Genomic DNA, 23022 nt, shown 5'->3' with positions numbered 1-23022 from the left:
TTTACTTCTTTCTTGTATTTGGTGCATAATTTCTGTAGAGTCACTTTCCAGCCATATTTCCCATTCTCTGCTATAATATTTGATATTCTGGGAGAAACATGTAAAACTTTAAAGTTTTTTTGTACCGTTTCTTTTAATCTCTGAAATTCAAGCAGTTGCTAAGTTTTTCATGTCCAATTCTCTTGTCTGTTGTATTAGCTTTCTTTCTATGCCTTGTGCCATCTATACATTTGTAAGTATGTTTATATAAGTTGATGTATAAATGCCAAAATGTGAGAGCCCCAATCAGTGCTTTGTGATCCACTAATAGAGACTTCCTTCTCAACACAATGACTTCTTAACTAAATGACTTAGGATCTAATTAACTAGCAAAATCTATATAAATAAGATTTTTTTCCTTGGCTACACATTGCTTGAAAAATCTACCAACATTAATTTAAAAAGAAGACTTGGGGTTTTTTCTTAATTTAATTTCTTAGATCTAAAAACACTACGGTTAACTTATTCTTTAACTTCTTGTTATTTTTCTCTCATTGTTTCCCAAATATGATAGCAATAAAGTCAAGCTTATTTGTGATAATTAATAGTATCTCTCACCCTTTCTTTCTCCATGTTTCAAGATGGAAGTAGCATACTAGTCTGCTGAATAAGGAGAGAATATGTTTGAGAAAGCAGCGTTTAAGCCTGATACATAGAAGTATGTCATTAGCTGTTTGATAAGTCTCCAACACTAATTAGAGTCATTGATTATTATGCACTATGTGATCATCAAGAAGATTGGGAATGTTTTCTACATGCCCACACCTTTTCTTAGACTTTAAATTGTTTAAGTTTTACTTCTACTTTTTAATGGAAAAAATGACTCTACATAGTAATCTTGTTTATTTTCCTTGTTGTGTAACAATATCAGGTTTTTTTTCTGGCAATCTGGTTTTATACACCAATACTGAGTTCTACTTTAAAAGCATAAATAATAATGGCTGACTTTTGTTTGTTTTTTTTTTTTTTTTTTTTTTGAGACAGTCTCACTCTGTCGCCCAGGCTGGAGTACAGTGGCACAATCTCGGTTCATTGCAACCTCTGCCTCCCAGGTTCAAGAGATTCTCTTGCCTCAGCCTCCCTAGTAGCTGGGATTACAGGCATGTACTACCATGCCCAGCTAATTTTTGTATTTTTTGTAGAGAGGGGGTTTCACCATGTTGGCCAGGCTGGTCTCGAACTCCTGACCTCAAGTGATCCACCCACCTCAGCTTCCCAAAGTGCTGGGATTACAAGCCTGAGCCACCATGCCCGGCCTTGCTGACTTACTTTTTATGCTAGTAAACTGTTTTTGTTGTCTGGTGTGCACAGTGCCTAGCACTGGCTTATGTCTCTTGAAGTCAAAGTTATTAATACTTGATTTCTGCCGTCAAGAAGTTTATATAGTATAGAAAGACAGACAGGTAGGACTAGGTGCTATACCATGTGATACAGTCTATCTCAGGGCTTTTCAAAGCTCCTTCCATATAACATTCTCACCTTTGGTTATGGCATAGCTGGAAGGAGGTGTGCTTTAGTTTACAGATCAGAAAACAGAGTCAACTTGAGGCTAAGTGACTTTTCCAAAGAGACTTGGCTATCAAGTTGCAGAAATGGGGTACAGATCCAGGTCTTTTGTGTCCCAATTCATCGCTTTTATTTTCCTCTATAAATATGATGGTTGGAAAGAATCCATTCTAATTATCCTTCTGCTTTTAAATAACTTTCATTAGATCTTACACAATATTTGCATGAATATTTCCTGCTTTCAGTGTTTTGAATTGATTGTTGTTTGATTATCTTCCTATATAAGTTTTTTTTGCTGGATATATTGTGCTTTTAAAAAAACATTGTAAAAATACATAATCTGATGTGCTGACTTGGAAGATTAGAAAAATTAATTTGAAATTGATTAGTTCCCAATGTTCTGATGCTGTTAACTTCTTTGCTGCACTTCCTGTCAGCTACAGTGAACAGAGAAAACAAGGCTTTCCATAAATTAGTGTTGGACTCTGAGGTAGTACTGAATTTAAGCCAAGAAACTGGGCTTAATATATAGCCCCAGCATTGACTTCCTTCTGTAACTTGATGGAAGTAAGTTATCTTTTTATTCTTTGCTTATCTCTGGAAGGGGAACAGTATCATCCTCTGGGTTAATCTGCAGGGAAGTTATAGAGGTTAATTACATGTGAAGTCATTTAAAAATTTTAATTGAGTATATATGAAATCAATCTAAAATTTGATGTCATTGTGGCTGGAGTGTATGGCAGTTGTCCAAGTTTTAGATAATGATTCTTAGCACTGTGGTTTGGTTACAATAGAAGAGTTTTAGTAAGAATTTTTAACAGCTTAAAAAATGTAAAGGTTGTTATATTTTGTGATTTAAGTACCACTTTTCTCTACTGTCTTAGAGGGAGAATTGGAAGAAGAGTGGCTTAAAGAGGCCGGTTTATCCAATCTCTTCGGAGAGTCTGCTGGAGATCCACAGGAAAGCATTGTGTTTTTATCAACATTGACGCGGACCCAGGCAGCAGCAGTTCAGAAGCGAGTAGAGACGGTCTCCCAGACCTTGAGGAAAAAAAACAAACAGTACCAGATTCCTGACGTCAGAGACATATTTGCTCAACAGAGAGAATCAAAAGAAACAGTAGGTTTTCTTTTTTGATGTTAAGGCAAAGGAATAATTGCTTACAATTAATTGGATCAATCTGGTTTAATTCAAATGATTAAAAACGTAATGATCACCTATTCTATGCCAGGCACCAAAGCTCTATGCTTGCAGGAAACAAGAGAGACTTGCTTCCTGCCTTTCTGGAAGTTATACTGATGGGGCAGAAAACAAAGCTAGTTAAAATTCAGCATGATAATCCATGTATTAGGAGAAGAGGGTGTCCTTGGAGCATTACAAGTGACTTTAACTCCACTAGGGGTGACAGGGACAGCTTCTCAGACAACATGACTACCAACAGTTACTTAGAGAAAAGTAGGATTAGGGTATTCTTCCCTATCTATTAATGCTTGTAGGAATATTTGATTTTTCCCTAGACTGGTTTGGGGATGGATGAAGTAGAATGTGAGGGAGCTAATTGCAGCTGAATTACAAAGCAGGAACTTTGAGACATGAAGTAACTTCTCCTTTGTGGTGTTAAAAGAAAGACCTTAGACAAATTAAATTTAACAGAATTTAATTGGGTAAAGAATGATTTGCAAATTGGGCAGCCCCCAGAATCACAGCACATTCAGAGAGACTCCAGTGCTACCGTGTGGTCAAAGAAGATTTATGGACAGGGAAAGGAAAGTGATCTACAGAAAATGGAAGTGAGGTACAGAAACAGCGAGATTGGTTACAGCTTTGTGTTTGCCTTTTTTGAATATGGTTTGAACAGTTGGCCACCTTTGATTGGTCAAAATTTGGTGATTGACACAAGTAGGTTACAGTCTGTTTACACATCCAGTTAGGTTAGAGTTCACTATATACAGAGAAACCCTTTAGGATGAACGGAAGATATGTAAGGAGGCAGCTTTAGGTTAAACTTTAAGGTGTCTAGCCTTAGCACAGTGACAGCACACAAAAGATTGAGTAAATATTTGTCTAGGTGATTAACTTGTTAATAAAAGCTGTGGGGTCTGGTAGAGACTGTGGGATTGATGAATGAAGGGAGGTATCAGAGAAGGCATGATAAAAGTTTGAGAGGCTGGGTGTGGTGGCTCACAGCTGTTATCCCAGCACTTTGGGAGGCTGAGACTGGAGAGTTCGAGACCAGCCTGGGCAACATAGCAAAACCCAATCTCTACAAAAAGCGCAAGAATTAGCTGGGTGCGGTGGCATGTGCCTGTAGACCCAGCTACTTGCGGGGCTGAGGCCAGAGGATTGCTTGAGCCCTGGAGGTCGAGGCTGCAGTGAGCTGTGTTCATGCCACCGCACTCCAGGCTGGGTGACAAAGTGAGACTCCATCTCAAAAAACAACAACAACAACAACAACAACAAAACAGTACAAGAACTGTGTGGCTCAGATCAGTGCTACTCAAATAAGCCAGTTGGTGGATTGCCTATTACTTACCTGTAAGGGCATCAGGAGCTTACAGAGAATATAAATGATCCTTGTTTCTTTCATCAAAAAAGTCTTGCTGCCAGAAAAAAGGTAAAAAATCAGCGGATCTAGATGGTGTTCTTGAGGTCAAAGTTGATTTACATTCTGGCTTGAGTGCAATCTCGGCTCACTGCAACCTCCCCCTCCCAGGTTCAAGCAATTCTCCTGCCTCAGCCTCGGAGTAGCTGGGACTACAGGCGCACGCCACCATGCCCAGCTAATTTTTTGTACTTTTAGTAGAGACAAGGTCTCGCCATGTTGGCCAGGCTGGTCTTGAACTCCTGATCTCAGGTGATCTGCTTGCCTCAGCCTCCCAAAGTGCTGGGATTACAGGTGTGAGCCACCGCACCTGGCCAGATTTTAAGTAACTTGCTCAGTGTCCTGTAGATAGTAAACCCAAATTTGTTTGACTTTGAAGTACATGCTTTTAACCAGTCTCTATCCTGGTATATTTGCATTTTGTACATGATTCTGACATTAAGCATCCTGAATATGAGATTCTATTTACACTATAAAAGATAACAAAAATTGAACGATTATTTATGTTAAAAAAGGAATGAAAGGGTTTATATTTAAGGTATCTTCCTGTCATGTAGACACTCTTTTGCTTTTTGTAGACATTTTATTCTTGCAAGAAAGCCCTTCTAGCTGCAGATTGCTACTCTCTTTGCATGACCAATTTCGAATCAAGTCCAGTCCATCTTACAGGAGTTTTGGGGTCATTAAATTGCTCCAGGCACTTGCTTAAGTTAAGCACTTGCTTACCACCCAGTGGTTATTTGGGATATCCACTTGTGTTAAAGGACTGGACTGGTTTCCAGCTGAAGAAAAATGAATGGTAAGGAAATTTAGTATTATGACATTTTCTTCCCAATTGGAGAACCCTCACTAAGGGAGTTAAGAGGAAGTGAAAAGGGGGAGGGAATAGAGAGCTGAGCCTAAGCAAAATATAAATTGTGGGATTTCTGCCAGTCTCCAAGAGGATGTTGCTACTTGGTGCTAGAAACAACATTTTTCCAGCAAGTTTCTGGCAGTGTCACAACCACATGGTTTGAGTCCAAGGTAATTGGTGGATTGTATCATCTGATGGAGTCATTAAGAGAGAACTAGCAAAAGGAAATTAAAATAATGTTAACTTGCTTACACTGCATGCCTTTAATTGAAACACTGCCACCCATTAGAAAAGTGCTTTATCTCCCCCATGCCTCAAGCAAACTTGGGCCAGCCATCTTCACTTGCAGTTCTTCTACTTTTGAGTGAGTGTATATTCAGCTCTTCCATGTTAAATGCTTCCTCATGAAGGCCTTGCTGACACTAGGAAATATAATGCAGAAATGAACACCATCTGTACTGCCATCTTCAATTGCTAAGGAAAATAATTCCGACCACATGCTCCAAAATATGTGTTCTTTTGTGAGACTGGAATCACTCTGCTCATTGTGCCATGCAGGGCCAGCCTCTGCCGGCTTGTGGGAGGAGGGAAGGAGAATGGGACTGCTCTGTGCTTCAGGGGATTAAAGTGATGCTGGGTACCCACGTACCACTTCTGTGACTTGGTAGTCACTGTAACACTTTCCTGGGTTTTCCCCATCTCTAAGTGGTGCATTAATAGCCTAGACGTCCCTAGCCTAGTGCTTTTCTAGGCTCTTTTTAGACTTCAGGTGGAGGATGAAGTCCTTCGTGGACAACAGCTTGAGGTGAAATGTGTGGTGAGACTACAATGGCCACTTTCTGTCTGAGATAAAATACAGTAGAATTATCAATATTATTAAAATAATTTGAATAGACCTCTTTCTGTGGTTGATCCAGACTCTTCTTCCTGACCTCTGAATTCCTTCTGAAGCCTTACCTGGAAAGGAGGAAGTACTCTCTGGCCACATTTACTGCTGAGCAGAGTCGGCCATGGTTTACCATCTCCATAAACCTTTGGAAGGCCCCGTTCCTTGGGCGTCACTGCCCCGACCCCTTGAAAACAGGAATTCCTTCAGATGTTTTAGGTCTTATTGCTGGTTTGGTAATTTAGTTACTTATCTCACATTTATTTCTTGCTTTTTTTTTTTTAACTTGAAGAATTTCTGTTTTATTAGGGACATGTACTTTTATAGTTTTATAACAGCATGATTGAGATATAATTCACATACCATATAATTCACCCACTTAAAGTGCACAATTCAGTGTTTTGTAGCATACTCACAGTTGTGCAACTATCACTACAATCAGTTTTAGCACATTTTTATTGTCTCCAAAAGAAAGCCTGTATCCATTAACAGACCTTCCCCATCTTTCCCTCCCTACTCTTAGGTGACCATTAGTCAGCTTTGTGTCTCTGTGGTTTGCATATTATGGTCAGTTGCTATAAATGGAATCATAGAATATGTGGCTCTTTGTGACTGGTTCCTTTCACTTAGCATAGTATTTTCAAGGTTTCTTTATGTTGCAGCATGTATCAATACTTCATTTCTGTTTATAGCCAAATAATATTCCACTGTACAGATAGACCACATTTTGCTTATCCATTTGTCAATTAATAGCTACTACTAATTTTTTAACATGTTTGTCCTTTCTCCTCCCCTCCATAGTAGCATTCTTGATGACAGGGACCCACTCGTGACTTTTTTAATATTTCCCACTGGGCCTACTATTGTCTCTTACAAGTTGTAGGTAATAAAATATTTTTTGGATGATTGCTTGTTGATTATTATCTTAGTGCCCCTTTTTCACTGTGATTGTTATAATTCTGAGTACATGTCTTGTACTCTAAAGATTAATAACAAAATTATTTACAGTACCATTTTCTCTGGTTTTGAGTTGGAGATGACTAAATGGCCTGTTTTCTATGTTTAGGCTCCAGGTGGCACTGAATCGCAGTCACTTAGAACAAATGAAAACAAATACCAAGGAAGAGATGGTATGTTGAACCTGTTCTCTTGTTTTTTTTTTTTTCCGCCCTTTAATTAGTATAACAGTTACAGTCTTATAAAACATTACCTTCAATTCTAGTAAGCAAATTCTATTAAAATGTTAATGTAAGGTCTCAAGTGGATCATTATGTGAGGCTGAGCATATAGCTGGCCTTCAATTTTCTTTTAATGTGTATTCCTATTTTCTGATTCAAAATGCGTATACGTATCTTCCTGAGTGCTTATCATGTGCCAGATGCTATCAGGAGATGTTTACCTCATTTAATACACTTGAAAACCATGTAATGGTTATTGTTCTTAACCCATTTTACAGATGAGTGAACTGAGGCTTAGAGCTGTGAAGCCACTTTCCAATGCAACACAGCTAGTCCCTGAGCCAACAAACTTGCAGCATCGTTCTTAAATCACAAGCTCCTAATTCATATATGGGGTAATTTTTTAGATATTGTAGGAAAACTTTTTAAAATAGTTAAGATTTTTATGGGCAATTGATTATAATTCTACTTTTCATGTTTCTCTGCTAACATTTGTTATTTCAGATTTGAATTAGAAACTCGAGGTATGGAAGAAAGTAACTTTTTTTTTTTTTTTTTTGAGGTGGAGTCTTGCTCTGTCTCCCAGGCTAGAGTGCAGTGGCGTCGTCTTGGCTCACTGCAACCTCTGCCTCCCAGATTCAAGTGATCCTCCTGCCTCAGCCTTCCCAGTAGCTGGGATTACAGGCATGTGCCACCATGCCCAGCTAATTTTTTTTTTTTTTTTTTTAAGTAGAGACAGGGTTTCACCATGTTGGCGAGGCTGGTCTTGAACTCCTGACCTCAAATGATCTGCCTGCCTGGGCCTCCCAAAGTGCAGGGATTACAGGTGTGAGCCACCATGCCCAGCCAAAAGTTACTATTAAGGCTTTATTAGTACTTACTAAGAGAGAATTTATAGCTATTTCATTTGTTTACAGAAAGGGAAAATATTCTAAGTGAAGTTAATAGATTTAAGCTTAAAAATGTAGTCCTTAATTGTTATTTAACAAACTAAAACAAAGGTGATTTAAGTTTATGTTCCTAAAATTTAGCAACTGGAGTGTTCATGCCATTAATAGTGTTGCATTTGGTTTGGAAGTAGTAGTGGGAGGGGTATTAGGTAAACTGTGGAGGACTGAGGAGTGTTCCCAACATTCCTATAAAAATCCTACATTACTCAAGATCATATGGGATCTTTTCCTTCCATACTTTCCTCAGAACTTCTCTCTGGCACCCCTGCCTTAAAGATAATATGCATGCACATGTATATACATGCATATATATTTATAAAAATACTTGCTTTTTATTATTCTGTGGATGTTTCTTCAGTTGTATGCATTATATCTGAATGAAATCACTAGGTGTTTTCTCAGATCTATGTACCTGCAGATGCTGAAGTGGCAAGCAAGCTGGCATAGCTACCCTGCCTGCTAGAGAGCTGGGTCATCAGGAGAGACAGATGGGTTTTTTGTGCCAATGTCAATATGTTTTGGGCTCTGGGGAAGAGTGACTGGCAGTTGGTGAATGGATGCTGAGGAAAACATTGTCCTTTTCTTGGTGTTTTCCTCCCTTGCCAGGGATCATGATGTAGGCTATATCAACAAAAGTTCTGGAAGACAAGTTCATAATGTGAGCACTTTCCTGCCTGGCTTGCAGCAGGCAAGTGAAATGTGACAAACTTGCTGCTTGATTTACATCTGCTTTTGCTGGAATGCTACATAGTGGGCATAGATCCTCCAATCAGAATAACAAGAGAATGTGTGATGCCATCCAAGTCACTGAGTATTCCCTATTGCACCTGTTCTGGGCAATGCCATGCTCTTTCACTAGCCAGTGAATTAACCAGTGTAAGCCAAACATTGGAAAGTTCAGGATGAAATGCATGGAAACATTGTCTCAGGTTCAAAAGTGGGGCTGTTTCTGATTAAAATTTGAAGGCATGGGTGACATAGTCTCTTTTAAATGTTTTCCCCACACTTGAGTTTTTAAACATGTTCCGCCAATGATACTTATTCTAAATGAAAAGGTTGTTAAGTTTTATAGTTGCAAGGGTTGTCACATTCCAAATTAATTCACTGTAATATGTTCATTTTTCATTCAATCATAAACTCTATTAAAGGCCCAATATTTAATAATACATTTAGAAATATTAATAATGCCCCAATAATTTTTTAAACTTTTATATTGATATGTATAGCTTCTTATTTTCTTTTGAATTTCTACAGAGGAAAGAAAAATCTTTTTTTTTTTTTAAAATAGAAGCAATTGAATCTTAAAGTCAGGTGGTTAAAAAAAATTTTTTAAGGCATTTCAGGATATTTTGGACAACTGAAAAACTTAAGGGAGATTTGCAAAATGTTTGTAACCCAGTGCTATTGTGCACTTAAAAAGAGACTAGATGACAGAAATTTTATTTATTTTAGGACCTTAAGAGCCAAAAGGTTGATCTCAGCATTCTGTTCTTATTGAGAGTAGGTAATTAAAACATCACTTATTAGCCAAGTAATCATCCATTTCTTGTAGCAGTACCCCTCTTCAACCCTGAAACTGTTTTTTTCTGTGCTGTGCTTCAACTTGATTTTCTATTTTAACTAGAACTTTGATATGCGGTATTTTTTTTTTGCATTGCTTTTGAAGGAAATGTGTGTGTTAAATGTGTACTACCTTAATTATAATTACTCAGCTTTACATTCGGCATAGTCCGTTGGTGTGGGTGTGAGTGTGGGGGTATTTATTGTAACCCTGACATGGAGGTGGTGAGAAGAAAGAGTAGTTTTGAAATTCTTGCCCACAACTACTCAGCTGCTAGAAAGGTAGCTTCTAATTTAAGAAAATGGCTAATCATTTTTTTCCTCTTAGAATAGTTTCCTAGGAAACCAGTGTACATAGTCACAGTAAAACATAAAAGAGAATAAACCAGAGGGAAAATAAAATTAAAGTTGTGCTTTGATATTCATGTTGATACTTTAAAAAATTAATCATCAAAAGGTATAGGTATTCTAATTTAAAAAATGGTCACAGGCTGTTGAGAAACATAAATATACATGGCAGCAGATGAATACTAATAATATCAACGGGCTTTAAATGTATTCTTAGTTTTGGAATTGGCACAGGTAAATTCTTACTTTCTTAACTGTGAGATTCCATCAGGACCAGCTGTGTAATTTGCAAGGTCAGGGACAAACTGCACATATAGGGCCTCTTATTTACATTTCAGGATGTAACAGCAGAGCATTAAACCAAGTGTGGAACCCTCCTGAGCCTGGAGCCCTGTGTGGCTGCACAGGTCTCATGCCTGGGAAGTCTACTCTGCATATTGAATGGGACTGAATAAGACTAGATTCATATTTACTTCTAAACTTGATTTTGATTAAAACAGGCATTTTCATTTTTAATGTAAATGAATATAAACATTATTTTTCTGAACTGCAGACTCTTAATATATGTATTTATGACATTTATCTATTAAATTTTTAAATTAACTTTAGCTTCCATCACTTTGTTGTGTTCGTATGTGAGCCTGTTATAAGCATGTGTCTACACTGCATAGATGTATTTTGTAATTCAGAGCTTCTTACTATGATTCAAAGGTCAACAGTGAGAAAATCAGTAATCTTGGTTCTTGGCTTTAGGTTTTTTTCTGTTAATTGCATTAAAACAAAAAATTTACCAAATAATCAAATTTAGAAGTATCTTCTCCAAAGCTTAAACCTGGTGTTTTCAGCAAAGAGATTTTTAAATGTAAATTCCTTTCTGGAGGGTTAACAACAAGCCAAAAAAGCCAAAACAAAGTTAAACTTACTATATCCTTGAAATCTTGATGTAAATATGTGAAAATTATTTGACTGGTATTTACAGTTGTAGGAACTTTTATACTTTTTGACATGATCAGGTGCAAACCCAACCATTCCTGTACCAGGTACGTCCTGACCTGACTCGCATAGTGATCACTTTTTGGCACTAACTCTTGTTTTGGAATTTTTACTATGATAGGTAGGTAATATTCCAGAAAGTAAATGCAGGGTGTGGAAGAAGTTTATTCCAGGAAACTGATCCACTCAGAGGAAATTAATTAAATGGTAAATTACTAGCTTTACAAGAGATTACTGCTCATCACCTCCTTCTTTTTTTGCTTTTAGTTTCTCAGTGTAGAATAAAACAACAATTAATACTTCAAAACCTTTTGAGGTTTTTTATTAAAAGTTTACTATCTTCCAGCAATGTTTTGGAATTGGAACCCAGTTTGAGGATTGTGGTCTCAAAGACTGCACAATTGAACTATGGATTGCTAGTCACCACAGTCTCCCTGCCCACTTCCCATGCACCATTGATAGGATTCTTGAGTATACTCTTTAGTATTAAAATAACGGCTAAGTATTGCCTAGAGAAAATAGTACTCTTCCCAAATGTTTTTATGTAGCGAATGCATTAGAATTTTTTTTAAAAAATAAATAAAGCATATGAATTGGGTTCTTTCCCCCCGGGCCCCTAGACGAGGCATCTAACCTTGTTGGTGAAGAGAAGCTGATCCCACCTGAGGAGACGCCTGCCCCTGAAACAGACATCAACCTGGAGGTATCATTTGCCGAGCAAGCACTCAATCAGAAAGAGAGCTCCAAGGAGAAAATCCAGAAGAGCAAAGGCGATGATGCCACATTACCTGTACGTAGTACACTCTTTATAAATATACATATATGTACATATACATATATATACACACACACATATACATACACACACACGCACACACACATATATATATATATAGAGAGAGAGAGAGACAGACAGACAGAGAGAAAGATGAGGCCTCACTACGTTGCCCAGGCTTATCTCAAACTCCTGGGCTCCAGCAATCCTCCCACCTCAGCCTCCCAAAGTCTTGGGATTACAGGGATGAGCCATCACACCTGGCTCAGGATATATTTTTCATCAGCTTTTTATTTTAAAAATGTAGAACCCACGGAAAAGTTGAAAGAATAGTATGGCAAACACCATTTGGCCTTCATAGATCAATTCAACAGTTATTAATATTTTATAACCTCTTTTTCTTTTCTATATCTATCTATATGTACTTTTTTAAAGTTTAATTCTTAAGAAATTTAAGCTGAAGTGATAATCATATTTAATATACAGTCATATCAAAACTTCCCCGATTGTCACAATATTGTTCTTTATAGCTTCTCTCTTTTCCACTCCCATTTGGGTTCCAAGCAAGAGTCATATACTGTATTTGTTGTCAGGTCTGTTTGGTTTTCTTGAATCTAGGTTAGTCTCCTGCTTTTCTTCAATATTATCAAAGAGTCCAAATCAGTTTTCTGATTGTTTCCTCAGGACTGGATTCAAGTTATACATTTTTAGCCACATTTACTGCATGGAGGATGTTTATGCCTTCGATTGCATCATCAGAAGAGATGCATGGTATCAGATGGTCCCTTTATTGGTGATAGAAGTTTGGTCACCAACTTGTCTAAGGAGAGATGTTCACTAGATCTCCCCATTATAAAAAGATACCTTTCCTATGTGCAATTAATAATAATTTGTCATCCTTGAGACTGGGCAAATATCTTATATGTCAATAAAGCCTATTGCCCAGTGGTTTCACCATCCATTTGTAACTTTGCCTGAAACAACAACTAACCTGGTGCTTAAGAAATGGCTATTTTAAAATTCTATTATTCCTTCTACACTTACTGGCTGACACAGTCTTCCGTAATTGCTTCTTCAGTTTCTAGCACAAGATGTTCCAGGCTCTCTTTGTAATTTTCTCCCTGCAGACTTGAAAGCATCCATTTCTCCAAGAAGCTCTGGTACTTTTTAGCAGCAAATTGTATTTAGAAACCAAGCTCTGTGTAGTGAATGTTCTCATTGCTACTGAATATCTTGCATTTTCTAAAAAATACATTTATTATGCAGAATTTCACACAGGCAAAAGTTAAAAAAATGGTATTCTGAACCCCCAAATACTTAGCACTCAGCCCCAACATTCATTAGCCCATGGCCAATCCTGACCTATTCATACCCCCACCCAGTTCCCTATTCTGTGTTATTTTGAAATACATCTCTGAATTATATTTTATCATCTATATTTCTAAAAGACAAAGAGGGGATTTTAAAACTCCTAACCATATAACCATTATTGTACCAAAAATGCTAAGAATTTTTAATTTCAAATATCTAAGCAGTGTTCAAATTTCAAATTGTATCACATAATTTTATAATCTTTTTATACAGTTTGAGTCAGGATCCAAATAAGGGTCATGTGTTGTATTGCAATTAGTTAATACATCTTTTAAGAATTCTTAAATCTCCTTCTCTGTTTCTTTCTCTCTCCCTCTCTCTCTTTCCTTCCTTCCTTCTTTCTTCCTTTCCCTCTATCCCTTCCTCTCTCTATTTTTCCTTCCTCCCTCCTCATTAATTTATTAAAGAAACGTGGTTATTAAATTGTGGAGAGTTTCCCCCTCTGACTATTCCCCTGGTGTAGTTTAATATGTTCTTTTGTTTCTTATTAATTAGTTGACTTTAAATTGATCAGATTCAGTTTCACTTTTTTGGGGGGGAGTCAAGACTACGTCAGATATGTGATTGTATGTTTTCTGTTGGGAAGCTCATAATATCTGTTTGCTTTCTTTTTTGTCAATGTAGCAGCTGTTGCTGATCAATACCTGGATCCATTAATTTATTAACGGTTACAAAATTATGATCTAATATTTTCTTTTTATTTATTAATTTGGATATTTCTTTGAGAACAACCTTCTGAAAGTGGTCATTTTTACTTTCTATTTGTTTTCAGAAATTGTTGACTTATTAACAGTTTTCACCTGTGACCAATTAATGTTTTAATTTGCTTTGTAAAATATAGTCTTAACTCACGGAATTATATATATTTGTAAAAATAGTCTTAACTCATGGATTTACACATATTTGATGTGATCCTGGACAAGATTTTACAGGCTTGTCTGGTATATTTTCTGTTCCAGACCTAGACTGATATGTTTCTGCAGGAAACTCTGATTCCGTTTAGTAGAAATAGACTTTTGTGACTATGATCAGGACTCTAGAAGTGTTCATTTCTCTGAGCTGGTCATTACTTTTGAGCCTTTTCAGAGGACAGACGTACATGAGCATCTTCTGTCTTCCATGCTGTGAATTGTAGTTCTCAGGAAATGGCAGATGATATATTTAGAATATCACATAATTGCATGTTTGCTTCATCCTAAGTTAATGCACAGCATTCTCAGAATATGCTAATACTACCATCAACAATATGATTACTAGAAATGGTTTAAACTTGTTTTTCTTTTTTTTTCTATTTGTCTGTGTGTGTGTGTGTGTGTGTGTGTGTATGTGTGTGTGTTTTGGGGGTACATCCTAAAAGGGATTTTATACAGTAAAATTATTGTGTTTTAGGTTGCTTAGGATTGTTACTCTTTGTATCGTTAAGCCATCAGCTGCATACCTGGTTTGGTTAATTTGCTTTATTTTATTTTCAATTTTTAGAGATTGCTTTTCTTGAAATTTCATTTTGGCTTATAAGTATGTAAAATACTTATATAGTCCAATAGTAAAGTCGAAAAACAAAGTGTATTAAAAATCTAGCTTTTATCCTTCAGCTACCAACCTATTCAATCCCTCCTCTTAGTGGCAAACTTTCTTTCCTTTTAATATCATGGTTTATCCTTCTGCTCCTAGGTAACTGGTAGCTCACTATGCACAGTTTCTTCCACCTTGATTTTTGTTTTGTTGACTTAGTGGTGTATTGTGGAAATCATACCATAGTAGTATAGAGAAATATTTCTCACTTCTTTTTATTAGATACATTGTACTCCATTGTACAGATGTATCATAATTTATTGAGTCAGTCCCCCTATGGCGGACATCTGAATTGTTTCCAGGCTTTTCTTCTATATATGTGTGTGTGTGTGTGTGTGTGTGTGTGTGTGTGTGTGTGTATATGTGTATATATATGTGTGTGTGTATATATATAGATAGCTATATTTGATATATATATTTGATATATATTTGATATATAATATAAATATATATAATATATAAATATATAATATATAAATATATAATATATAATATATAAATATCTATAATATATAATATATAAATATATAATATATAATATATAAATATATAATATATAATATATAAATATAATATATAATATATAAATGTATAATATATAATATATAAATATATAATATATAATATAAAAATATATATTATATATATAAATATATATAATATATAAATATATAATATATAAATATATAATAAATATATATAATATATAAATATATAATATATAAATATATAATATATAAATATATATAATATAATATAAATATATATAATATATAAATATATAATATAAATATATATAATATATAAATATATAATAATATATAATATATAAATATATAATATATAATGTATAATGATATATAATATATAATAAATATATATAATATATAATGTATAGTTATAATATATATGATATATAAAATATATATTATATATAATATATAATATAAAATATATATTATATATAATATATAATATAAAATATATATTATATATAATATATATTATATATAATATATAATACATATGTATAAATATATAATATATAATATATATAAATATACATAATATATATTACATATAAATATATATCATATATCATATATATTACATATAAATATATATCATATATCATATATATTACATATAAATATATATCATATATCATATATATTACATATAAATATATATCATATATCATATATCATATATATTACATATAAATATATATCATATATAATATATAATATATCATATATAATATATATCTATATAATATATAATATATATCATATATAATATATATCTATATAATATATAATATATATCATATATCATATATCATATATATTATATATAAATATATATCAATCATATATATTATATAAATATATATCATATATCATATATATTATATAAATATATATCATATATAATATATATTATATATAAATATATATCATATATATATATATTTTTGAAATGGAGTTTCACTCTTGTCACCCAGGCTGGAGTGCAATGGTGTGATCTCAGCTCACTGCAACCTCCGCCTCCTGGATACAAGCAATTCTCCTGCCTCAGCCTCCCAAAGAGCTGGGATTATAGGTGCCCACCACCACGCCCGGCTGATTTTTGTATTTTTGGTAGAGATGGGGTTTCACCATCTTGGCCAGGCTTGTCTTGAACTCCTCTCCTCAGGTGATCCACCCACCTCAGCCTTCCAAAACACTAGGATTACAGGCATGAGCCACTGTGCCTGGCCTTCTTGTATATTTTTGAAAATCTGTGTTTATACCTAATGGGAAAAGTAAAAGAGTATGCAAGTGTGGCCTAAAATGATGATCCACTCTGCCAGACTATCCTCAGGAAAAGTATGGTTTTTTGTGTGTGTTTGTTTTTTGTTTTTCTCGAGATGGAATCTCGCTCTGTCACCCAGGCACCATCTTGGCTCACTGCAACCTCCACCTCCTGGGTTTAAGTGAGTCTCCTGCCTCAGCCTCCCGAGTAGCAGGGATTGCAGGCACATGCCACCATGCCTGGCTAATTTTTTATATTTTTAGTAGAGACGGGGCTTCACCACGTTGGCCAGGCTGGTCTCGAACTCCTGACCTTGTGATCCGCCTGCCTCAGCCTCCCAAAGTGCTGGGATTACAGGTATGAGCCACTGTGCCTGGCCAATAAGTATGTTTTCAAAGTGACAGTCTTCATCACAAAATATGGAAAGGTTTTAAATTGAAGGACAGTAGAATCTAATTAAACAAAATGAAGTCATTGTTGGCTTTTAAGTTGTTGACTCAAACAGTGGAATGAAATATAATTCATCTCCACTTGAGAGCTTTCAAAACAAAACTCCCTCTGCCATTTTCTTCTCTGTTTAACTAATTTACCTTCACCTACCTTCTTAATTATATTCAAGTTGTGCCCAAAGTTTAAAATGACCTCTCCATTTCTACCCCTCTGTTGTTCCATATTTGCCAAGGAAACTTTAATCTATTCTTCAGAGACTAGCTCAAGATCAGTTTTCCTGTTCAGTCTTTCCTGATCGTGAACTTATATTAGATCAAATAAATATATGAAATCACCTTTGATTTAGGTTGCATGCTTTAGACATTATTGTTAATCTGTCCATGTATTTTTTTATGCAAATATGCATATACTCATCTATAGAAACTCTTTTTTAGTCCGTTTGTCTTCTAGAAGGTATGGACTCATTGTTAAATTTCTACAAGTCTTTCCCATGGTTGAAAAAGTAAGATTTGTATTCACTACTCTGAGGCAGGTGTCTAAGTAGATAAAACCTTAAGTTCCATTTCTGTTCCATGCTCCTCTACTTCTGTAAATAAGCAGTAGGCTTTATGTAATACATTGTTCTCTGTTGACCTCATTTCATATTCACTTCCTTTTCCTCACAGCATCGAGCAACCTTTGTCAATTCTTTATGATCTCTCATCGTGGATTCAAATTTCTCCTCTTAAATTTGGAGATCAGGTTTTATAACCTTTAATTTGCTTTAGTTTGAAAATTTAGCTACTTAGTGTATACATGTTATATCTCAGAAATTATGCTCTGTAATTATTTATTAGATGACCTCTAGGAGGTAGACACCCCTATTTTTCATACATGGAAACATGTTAGAGAGGTAACTTGACATGCTGAGGCTTGACATTAATGACTAAGCTTTTGAATCCTTTCTCTTGCTTTCCAAGTCAAAGCTAGAGTGATCTGATGAGTAAAAAAGTCAAGTTTATTATTAGTGATGAAATGCCTAAGGGGCCCCTCATGCAAATCCTACAAAAGAGCAACACGCCAGGGAAAGCTACCTAGTTAATTTATGGTAACACAAGGGAATCAATGACCTTACATTTTTTTTTGAAAATTTTTATTCTTTTCTTTTTCCTTTTTTTTTTTTTTTTTTTTTGTTTTGAGATGGAGTTTCACTCTTGTTGCCCAGGCTAGAGTGCAATGGCGCGATCTCGGCTCACTGCAACATCCACCTCCTGGGCTCAAGTGATTCTCCTTCCTCAGCCTCCTGAGTAACTAGGATTACAGGCACCTGCCACCACGCCCGGCTAGTTTTTGTATTTTTAGTAGAGATGGGGTTTCACCATGTTGGTCAGGCTGGTCTCGAACTCCTGACCTTAGGTGATCTACCTGCCTCAGTCTCCCAGATTGCTGGGATTACAGGTGTGAGCCACCATGCCCAGTCTTATTTTCTTTAAACACATTTTTCAAGAGGTAGAGAACTTTTCTCTTGCTGAAATTTCACTGCTTTCTCTTAGCCAATGAACTGAACCATTCAGTCTATTAACTAAACAAAAAACGACAGGAAACTTCATAAATATTTAAAGCTGCTGCTATGAATTAAACATTGGGATAAAGAACTAACTCCTTCATTAAGCACAATGTTTAAATAAATAAATAAGCTCATGACATATATCGCTAGGTAAATCAAATGTTTGAATTAATAATATTTCAGGATTCTGTAAACATTTACCTTGGGTAATGCTTTAAACGGCTGTATTACATGTGTTTGACTTATTAGACCCAAAGCAACTGATTTTAATGAAACATTTAGGGCTTAAAAAAAAGGTAAATATGGTTGGTTCAGCATTCAGAAAATGAAGCAATTAGCAGAAATATAGGACCAAACATGGGAAAAATGTGACCAGTTTTGTGTGATTTTTAAAAAGGAAAACTCAGTAGAAATCACAGAAAATCAGGGGAACACGAAGCCAATGGCCCTCCACCTCATTGAGTTTGATTCTATGCTCGCCTCCCTGTAGGATGTGTGTCTCCATTCATTTAGTGGACCATGACAGACCACCCATAGTGTGTCAGGTCTGTGGTACAACAGCGTTACGGAAGTGATTAAGAAGTGGCTCCTCTCCTTGAGGGGCTCACAGTACCACATCAACACCTATCAACCTAGATATCTCCCTGCCTACTCTGGTGGATGGGAAAAATGGAGTAGAACAGAATGGTTACAAAACTTACGATTTAGGAGAACTGAATTTGCATCTTCATGACATCACTGGCTTTGTGGCCATGTTTAAGGCACTTAACTGAGTCTCAGTTTCCCCACCTAGAAGATGCTGTAATAATTCTTATTAGGACTTTTGAAGGATTAAATGAACTGTTTTTCGATAAGATAATTATTATTATCATTTTTTTCTTACCTTGCCATGACACATAAGAATAAAGGAAGACCATGAAATGTTGATATTATTTTAAAAGCTCCATGAAAAAAATATAATATGTAATACTTTTTGAGTGCTATTTATCATTTGATCTTCGCCACAACCTTGTAAGTTAGGTTCAGTTGTTCTCATTCTACAGATGAGGAGGCTAAGGCACAGAAGGGGACATTGTTTGCCAAAGGTCACATAGTAAGTGATGGAAACAGCATTTGCCACCTGTAGTCTGACTCCACTCTCTTGAGCCCTGTGCAGTGCCCCATGGAGGCCATCCTGCCCCCTGCTGGAAATTTGCTTAGGCCCCATCTTCAGTGATGTCCATTGCTGTTTATTTGATGTTCTCCTAGGAAAAAAAACACATTACGAACGGTTAAGAAAGACCCCTTTCCTCTTACAGTGGACTTGAAGGCTCTCTTTTGAATTGAGTTTGCTTAAAGGGAATTAGTTTCTCACTTACTAAAAGTCATAGGTTTTACGAGTTGCTGTAGGAGACTGACTCCAACATTTTCATCTCACAACTCCTTCATACACTTAAAAATTATTAAGGGCCTCAAAAACCTTCTGTTTATGTGGGTTATACCTATGGACACTTACCATATCTGAAAATAAAATTGAGAAATTGAAAAAATATTAATCCATTTAATATAACAATATTATAGTTAACATAAATATCTTTTTCTCAAAATGGAAAATAGCCATATTTTCTAAAGAAAATTAAGTGTATCATGGTTTTAATTTTAGTGAGTCTGTAATGTCTGGCTTTAGTTGAAGTCAGCTGGATTATCATATTTACGTTTGCATTCAGTCTGTTGCAGTAGCACTCATTTACATCTGGAAAACTATACTCACGAGAGAATGAGAGTGTAAAAGGCAAAATAATGCCTCATTACTAATTATTAAAATAGTTCTGAACTTTTTGGAAGGATATTGGATACCCCCAATGGTCCCTGGACTACACTTTGAGAATTACTGCTTTAGGACATGTCTTTTGCCCTAGCATTTAGACGATGAAGTGTTAATGATAAGACGCAAGAAGTACCAAAGCAAAGGGAATAAAATAGATGCAGTAAAATCAGCTAATCAGCAATTGAATTAAATGAAAAATTCAAAGGTAAACCCAAACTGTAAGAGAATGATCAGTTTTAGTAATAGGTAAACACAATGGAATTGTAATTTGTATTAAATGTACACACTAGTGAAATTTGCCTTTTTATCTTGTGGTTTGCTTTCTGATGTTTAATGTGTTTAATATTAAAAGATGATATTTGAGAAAGGCAGAAAAACACACCATGTGCTTGTGATTATGAAGCAACATCTTAGTCCCACTTTATTCAGCAGTGAAAGTAATATACAAGTTGAGTATCCCTAATCCAAAAATCCAAAATCCTAAATGTTCCAAAATCAGAACCTTTTTGAGCACTGGCATGATGCCACAAGTGAAAAATCCCACACATAAGTACTTAACACAAAATTAGTTTCATTCAAATTAGTTAAAATATTTTGTAAAATTGCCTTCAGGCTATGTGTATATGAAACATAAATGAATTTTGTGTTTAGACTTGGGACCCATCCCAAGATGTCTCATTGTGTATATACAAATATTTCAAAATCTGAAATCCAGAGCACTTCTGGTCTCAAGCAGTTTGGATGAGGTGTACTCAACCTGCAGTAGCAACCACATAAAAGCACTTGGGCAGTGCTGGGCACTAAATCTCACAATAGCCCTCTGAATTCAGTGGCCCATCCTCTTCTTTTTGTTGCCCTTCTCCTCCTTTCCCTCCCCCTCCATCTCCCATTTTACAGAAGTAAAGGTTAAGCCATTGCCATAAGTCACACAACTAGTAAGTAGATAGGTGACTGGTAAGCTCTGAAGTCCATGCTCTTCGTTTCCCCTGTGTCCCTCTTACCCCAATGGGCTGTAGCCTTTCTGGACCAATCTTACTTGGCTTTTGTGACAATTAAAAGATACATAAGTGTATGTGAAGGGTACCTGGCATGTTCTAAGCATACACTCATGGCTAGTATTCCTCTTTCTCTCCCCCCTACTTGTCTTCTTCATGTCATCTTCCTCTGTTTCCCCCTCCCCCTCCCCCATCCCCTTCCCGTCCCCTCCCCTTCATTTTCCCTCTCCCCTTCCCTGCTCCCCTTCCTTTTCCCTCTCCCCTTGCCCACTCCCCTTCCTTTTCTCTCTCCCCTTCTCATCTCCTTTTCCCTCCCCCTTCCCTTCCCCTTCACTGTCCCCGTTTCCCCCTCCCCCTCCCCCTCCCTCCCCTCCCCCTTTTCCTCCCCTTTTTCCTCTTCTTTTTCCCTCACCTCCCCCTTTTCCCCTCCCCCTTTCCCTCCCCCTTTCCCTCCCCCTTTTCCCTCCCCCTTTTCCCTCCCCCTGTCCTCCCCTCCCCCTTTTCTTCCCCTTTTCCCCTCCCCCTCCTTCTTTCTTTCCCCCTCCTCTTTCTTTTCCCCCTCCCCTCCCCCTCTCTCTCCCCTTCCTTCTCCCCTTCCCTTCCCACCTCTTCTTCCCCTTCCCCCTCATGGATTGTGCTTGACTTCTAGCCATCCTTTTCTGAAGGTCACTTAACTAGAAGTCTTTTTCTCCTGGTTCACTGTCTCTCTTGTCCTCTGAGCCACTGGTATTAATACTCCGAGTTTGCGGTCTGTTCCCGTTGTCTGTCAGACTTTGGAAGTTGACTCCCGAACCCTCCACAGCTTTAGGGGTCGTCATCATGACAGGATCACTCTTCATTCTGACTGGAGAAATTCTGTGGCTTTTCTTATCACTTATTCTGAGTATAACTTCTTTCTGTAGTTGGTTTTTCCTTCCTGCATTACAATGGAGGTTAGGTACTGTAAGCTTTTACTATATTAATGATGTTTATTTTAGAGTTTCAGATTGCCAAAAGACAAAACGGGTACCACAAGGATTGGTGACCTCGCACCCCAGGACATGAAGAAAGTTTGCCATTTAGCCCTAATTGAGCTGACTGCCCTCTATGATGTATTGGGTATTGAGCTGAAACAACAAAAAGCTGTGAAAATCAAAACAAAAGGTAATCATGAAATGATAAACCCTTGGATTTATTTCTAAAATAGCAAGGATGGACTTGGCTTTTTTGCAGTATTTCTGGGAGACAGGGAAAACACCTGCAAAATAAACCAACACTTGAATACATCTAAAGTTTATATTCTAAGATGTTGCCTTCAAAAGTTTTATAACGATAGAGATACACTGTGTCCTAGACTATAGAGAATAAAGGCATAGTCAAAGAATTTAATTCTCATAGAAGGAAATTCTGAAGCAAGGACTCTTAACTCATTTGCTTTCTCCTTTAAAAACTATATATTTAAAAAGATACATATTTGGTACACATATTTATTTATTTCCAGAATCAGATCTTGAAAAATGACTTTAAGACAGTTGATTCTAAGTGACTACTTTTGGTTATTCATTGGATAGCAAATAAATGGGCTAGTTAGTAGTCTGCCCCTTTGTTCCTGGACATTCTAATTTTACCTATTTTGCAAAGACATTCTTTCCCCTATTAAGAAAATACCACCATTGTGACAAAACAATACCACTAGATTGTACTCATCATGGAAATATGGAGTGGTTTTTTTTTTTTGTTTTTTTTGTAAGTACCTTGCTTTACCCATTAAATAAACAGTTTATTTTTAATGATATAATAGAGAACAGATACCT

The 23022-nt window shown here is 36.1% G+C and overlaps 1 protein-coding gene across 1 annotated transcript in view, besides 1 other annotated feature; it reads left to right on the top strand.

The window, feature by feature from the left end:
• The window catches only part of ARHGAP18 (Rho GTPase activating protein 18), a 134046-nt gene that overhangs the window by 69119 nt on the left and 41905 nt on the right, over window positions 1-23022 (top strand). The window contains exons 3-6 of the mRNA NM_033515.3: window positions 2430-2665; window positions 6954-7017; window positions 11537-11706; window positions 22207-22372. Of these exons, the coding sequence (NP_277050.2) occupies window positions 2430-2665; window positions 6954-7017; window positions 11537-11706; window positions 22207-22372 (636 nt within the window). The remainder of the gene's footprint in view (window positions 1-2429; window positions 2666-6953; window positions 7018-11536; window positions 11707-22206; window positions 22373-23022) is intronic.
• Window positions 21129-21329: a silencer, noted in NCBI's record as "peak6120 fragment used in MPRA reporter construct". NCBI's record gives its function as "represses an SCP1 promoter by STARR-seq MPRAs in K562 erythroleukemia cells {active_cell/tissue: K562}" and the evidence as "EXISTENCE:reporter gene assay evidence [ECO:0000049][PMID:32103011]".

This window comes from Homo sapiens, chromosome 6 (assembly GCF_000001405.40).
Source record: "Homo sapiens chromosome 6, GRCh38.p14 Primary Assembly".
Classification (NCBI taxonomy): Eukaryota; Metazoa; Chordata; class Mammalia; order Primates; family Hominidae; genus Homo; species Homo sapiens.
The sequence above is the reverse complement of the archived record's forward strand: the minus strand, read 5'-3'. Positions and strand labels throughout refer to the sequence as shown.